Source organism: Homo sapiens, chromosome 8 (genome assembly GCF_000001405.40).
Source record: "Homo sapiens chromosome 8, GRCh38.p14 Primary Assembly".
Taxonomy (NCBI): Eukaryota; Metazoa; Chordata; class Mammalia; order Primates; family Hominidae; genus Homo; species Homo sapiens.
The window spans coordinates 32,913,547-32,918,975 of record NC_000008.11 but is presented as its reverse complement, the minus strand read 5'-3'; positions in this window follow the sequence as shown (position 1 = coordinate 32,918,975).

Sequence of the window (5,429 nt, the reverse complement as noted above, 5' to 3'; positions counted from 1 at the left end):
AATGGTGACCAAATAGAGAAAAAAAGAGAAAAATCTCTTTTTAGGTGTCTTTGGTAAGTTTGCTCTGGAATCCTGAATACAAGCCTGGGCACATTGATGCCAGAATAATATGGATCAACTCAAAGGAGTTGGAAGAACAGTAACATAAATGATTAGAAAGTAGGAGAGTGATTTATGGGCAAAGACCCACAGAACTAAATACTGTCCACATAGGTTACTTAAGCAGGAGGCCAGGCTTGGAAGTGACAGCTCTGTAATTGAAGAGCACAGGAGGGAGAAGAATCTTTTAGAGGGGTAGAGAAAAAGGTTAAGTAGGGGCAATGGAATGGAATAAAATGCCTTTGTTTATGTATTTAAAAGATCCTCAGAGGCAACCTTCTGAATTCCAAATTAGCTGAGTCATCACGGCGGTTCCTCAAACTTAAAAAAATGGAAATGCCTAGCCATAAACCCTTGAAATGATTGTGTTTGCAGCTCAGAGAGGCAAAAGTAGGGGATAAAAATTCTGGTTAGATGTTGGGAAAATCTTTCCACTTCCAGATGGTGAGAAACATTAGATCATGAAGGAGGTCCCTGAGGGAATTGACAGAAATCACTGTAAAGCTCTTAAAAATCAGGCTCTCCAAAGCAATAGAAAATGCAGCAGGGAGAGAATGCCTCCTTTAACAAAGAGATGACAACAGACAAAATAATATCCATCGTCTCTCACCTTCTCCAAACCACTAGTCCTCGCTGTTACTGTTAGTGGCATCCACATTTTCACAGATACCAGGTTCTATGATCGCCTTCTGATGGGTCAGGCATATCATTGCCTCCTCCAGTTCTGGAGCCCTATTTTCTGCCAGTTTCTCCTGCTCATTATTACCTCGTTCAGGTCATTAATTCCCTCACAGACATGGTTTGTAGGAATCCTGAATTATATCTTTATGCCCAGTGTCTCACCTTCCTACTCATTCTTCCTATCAATTCAGATTTATTCTCTTAAAGCACACTTAGATTATTTCATCTTGTTTGTTTTTTTTTAAACTTTTTTTTAATAGAAGCATTCCAGCTGGTCAATCATAAAGGTATGATAGAATATCACCACTTTGGAATTCCTAATAAAATAATTGGTCTGGTCATTGATGATCAGCCTAAAATCATTAAAAAGCTTAATGGGAGCTTGATAATAAAAGATTGAGGCTGACAACACCCAAACCCATCGATAAATTTTAGCATCACAAAAAAAGAGACAGATAGTACATCCGCTCAACAAAAGTACACGACTCCCCTTATGAAGAATTCTTGCCAATAAATCAAAACTGAATCTAATTAAATATCTGGATATAACAACTAGTTTATGGAAAATACAGGGGACTGAGAACTATATTAAACAAAAGTCTGGTGACACAATCAGCAAAATCCAGAATATGAGACATTTTAAGGAATCAATGACCCAGTTTCTTCAACAAATAAAAGGTAAGATTTTTAAAAACAAAATACAAGGTGAATTTACAGATTCAATGAGACTTAAGAGATTAATCAACCAAACGCAATAGGTAGAACTTGTTTAAATTCTGATTCAAATAACCCATAGACTATAGTTATAGGCCAATTCATGACATTTGAAGTCTGTCTGGATAATTGTATGAAGGGATTATGGTAAATTATTGGGACAGATGTGGGATTCAGTCATGGTGTTTTTAAGAGTTCTTTTTGTAGATTCACACTGAGGTATAAAAGGAAAAGTGAAGTATTATGTGTGAGACCTGCTTCAAAATAATCCAGAGGGAAGGAGAAGGTGGATGTGGGTTTAGATGAAGGAAAACTGGCATGAATGACAGTTACTAAAGCTCAGTGATGGGCTCATGGATTTTATTATACTGTCCTTTCTAGTTAATATATGTTTGAAATATTCCACAATAAAAAGTTTTTAAAAAGTCAGTTGGCTAAGAAATACACCAATTTTGTTTCACCAAGATTATGAAGGGAACTCACTTGAGCCAAATAAAATGCTTGGCTTGAGCAGTGACCTGTTTAAGCCCAATAACTGGTTTGGTTTGGTTTCATTTGGCTCCTTCCAGGTGGTCAAAGAGGTTTAAATTTGCTGTCTTTCTAGGCCTTCCCTTCACTTTCTATTAATTCTGTGGTTTTGTTTTTTTCTTGATCACCCACGGTAATAAATTATTCACTATTTGATGGCAGTAATGATTGGGAATTTGGTTTTATGGTTTGGCCATTTGGTGATTTCTGTTGGATCAATGATGTAGATCTCTTCTCTGTTAGATGAGAAACAACATAAGGCCAGGTGCGGTGGCTCATGCCTGTAATCCCAGGACTTTGGAAGGCCGAAGTGGGAGGCTTGCCTGAGCCCAGGAGTTCGAGACCAGCCTGGACAACAAAGGGAGACTCCCCCATCGAAAAAGAAAAAAAAAGAAAAGAGAAACTACATAAAAATCCAACCTGTTGGTCCTCTGCCTGTTTGCCTATTTATGAGCTCAGATGAATTAAGAATTGTGTGCCAAGCTCAGTGGCTTCTGCTTGTAATCCCAGCACTTTGAGAGGCCAAGGTAGGAGGATCACTTGAGCCCAGGAGTTTGAGACCAGCCTGGGCAACATAGCAAGACCTTATCTCTACAAAAAGAAAACAAACAACAAAAACAAACACAAAACTTAGCTTGGCATGGTAGTGTCCTACCAGCTACTTAAGAGGCTGAGGTGAGAGGATTGCTTGAACCAAGGAGGTCAAGGCTGCAATGAGTTGTGATTGCACCACTGTATTCCAACCTGGGTGACAGAGCAAGACCCTGTCTCTAAAAAACTAAAAGAATTTTGTGCCCACCATGGAAGAGAGCAACTCTTTGTGATCTGGACAGTGAATTTTTGTTTTTAGGTTTGGTTACAACTGTAAGCTCTATGTAGGTATGTCTATAATTCAGAAAGACATCTAACTCCTATTATTGAGAATTAAATATTTTTCTACTTCTAAAATATTTAATAAGTTAGATTATGATGTACCTTAAATTTAAGGAACTATTCTTATTGATCTGTAGAGACAATGTTTTCCAAACTTCACAGAAAATAAGAAAGCTAAACTTTGAAAATTGTTCAAAGTGGTAGCCTTTTAAGAAAAAAAAATTCTTCTCATAAAAACCAACTGAAAAAGATTGTGTATAAGAATACAAGTTTACACAATTAAGGTTAAACAATCCTTGGTTTAATAATTTGGGTTTAAGAAAGCAAACAAATGCAGCTGTGTATCCATTCCCAAATTTTTATCAGCATAGAATACAAGAGTACATTTTATTTTTATGAGATTAGGATTTAATGTCTCATGAAGAAACTAGTCTATCAGACCTTTATAAATATTTAATAGATTATTTATCAAGAAAAAATTAGTTATTCCTAAATACCTAAGACTATGAAAATGTTAATTTGTTTTCATTTAATTTGAAACATTATTGTGAAAATCTTTTTATATCATCACTAATCATTTTAGTGTATCAGGTTGAATACAATATCTAAGTTGTCTAGATGACTTAAAACCTTGAACTAATATATGTTAAGTAAGTAACAAATAACATTCAGATAATTAAGTATGTCTATTCTTTGAAACATAGATTATTAAGCATACTTTAAAGTATATATACATTTGCCTCTATGTTTACATGCTGTGTCACTATATCTTGTGGGTTATATTGATAAACATGTTTGGTTTTTCTACTGCAAAAAAGCATAGAAGGTGAGTGAGCAGCTGCAGAAAGTTGTATGTATTCATGAGATTTGCTACTCCACTAAAATGCTTATATATGACAGATAGGTCTCACTTACCTATTAGGTTGGTGCAAAATTAATTGTGGCTTTTAATGGCAATTACTTTTGCACCAACATAGTACCTCCCACTTTCCTATGTAAAAGAGAAGTTAGTTACTGCTATAATTTGCTTTTTTTTTTTTTTTTCTGAGACAGGGTCTCACTCTGTTGCCCAGGCTGGAGTGCACTGGCACGATCTCAGCTCACTGCAACCTCCACCTCTCAGGCTCAAGCGATCCTCCCACCTCAGCCTCCCAAGTAGCTGGGATTACAGGAGTGTGCCACCATGCCTGGCAAATTTTTGTATTTTTTTGTAGAGACAAGGTTTCACTATGTTGCTCAGGCTTGTCTTGAACACCTGAGCTCAAGTGATCCACCCATCTTGACCGCCCAAAGTACTGGGATTACAGGTGTGAGCCACCACACCCCACCCTTATAGTTTGCATATTTGACCCTCCAAACCTCATGTTTAAATTTGATCCCCAATGTTGGAGGTGGGGCCTAGTGGGAGGTGTTTGGGTTTTGAGGGGAGATTCCTCATGAATAGATCAACACCCTCAAGGTGAAAGGGATAAGTGAGTTCTTACTATTGGTTCCTGCTAGAGCTGGTTATTGAAAAGAGTGTGGTGTCTTCCCCCCTCTTTCTTGCCTCCTCTCTCTTCATGTGATCTCTGCACACTCCAGCTCCCCTTTACCTTTTGCTATGAATGGAAGCAGCCTGAGGACCTCACCAGAAGCAAAGCAGATGCTGGCATCATGCTTCTTGTACAGCCTGCAGAACTGTGAGCCAAATAAATAAAACTATTTTCTTTATAAATTTCCCAGCCTCAGGTATTCCTTTATAGCAACACAAATGGACTGACAGTGACTTTGATAAAGTTATCACTAATACGAATTTTGAGGCTATACTGAGAACAATAGTGACAGAGAAATATAAATATGGTGACCAAGTACAAAATGGAATGCATTTTTATCAAAATAAAAAGAGAATCTTGTCTTAGAGATCTGGCTGTTCCAGAATGTGAAACCTAGAGGATAGAAAAATACAAACAATGAACGGCTGCAGAAAGGTGTAGAAGGTTTGCAGAAAGGAGGGATCATTTTATTTCCCTTACTTTATAATACTTGAGTCTGGAAAGAAAGCAATAATATGTGTTAAAATTTTATCAAAGATGGCTTGATTTTGATGGGTTTATCCATAAGAAAAACATTTCTGTGTATTCTTCACTGCTAAATATATTTGCAAAAAACCTAGAATTTGATTTTTTAATCTGTTAAAACTATAAATTGTTTTATAACTCTTTAACAAAACATTATTCTTTATTTTCTGTGTAATCTGCCCAGAGAGTATAGATTCCCTATCCTGCCAGATAAAGTCTCCTTTGAATATATTTTGATAAAAATTACTATTAGGTGAACTTCATCTAAGTTTTCTACTTTTGTCTAGCTTTCATATTTGCATATCTTCGAAGTCACCCAGTGTAACCAAACCAAATACTCATTAAACAGAAAATAAAAAATAAAATGAGAAAATGATGATTTTGGAAATACACAGAAAAAAAACAGAAGTAAGATAAAGTCACTTTTTCTCTCCCGCATTTAAGTATGTAGCTATGACTAGTAGCTTTGGGAAGGGT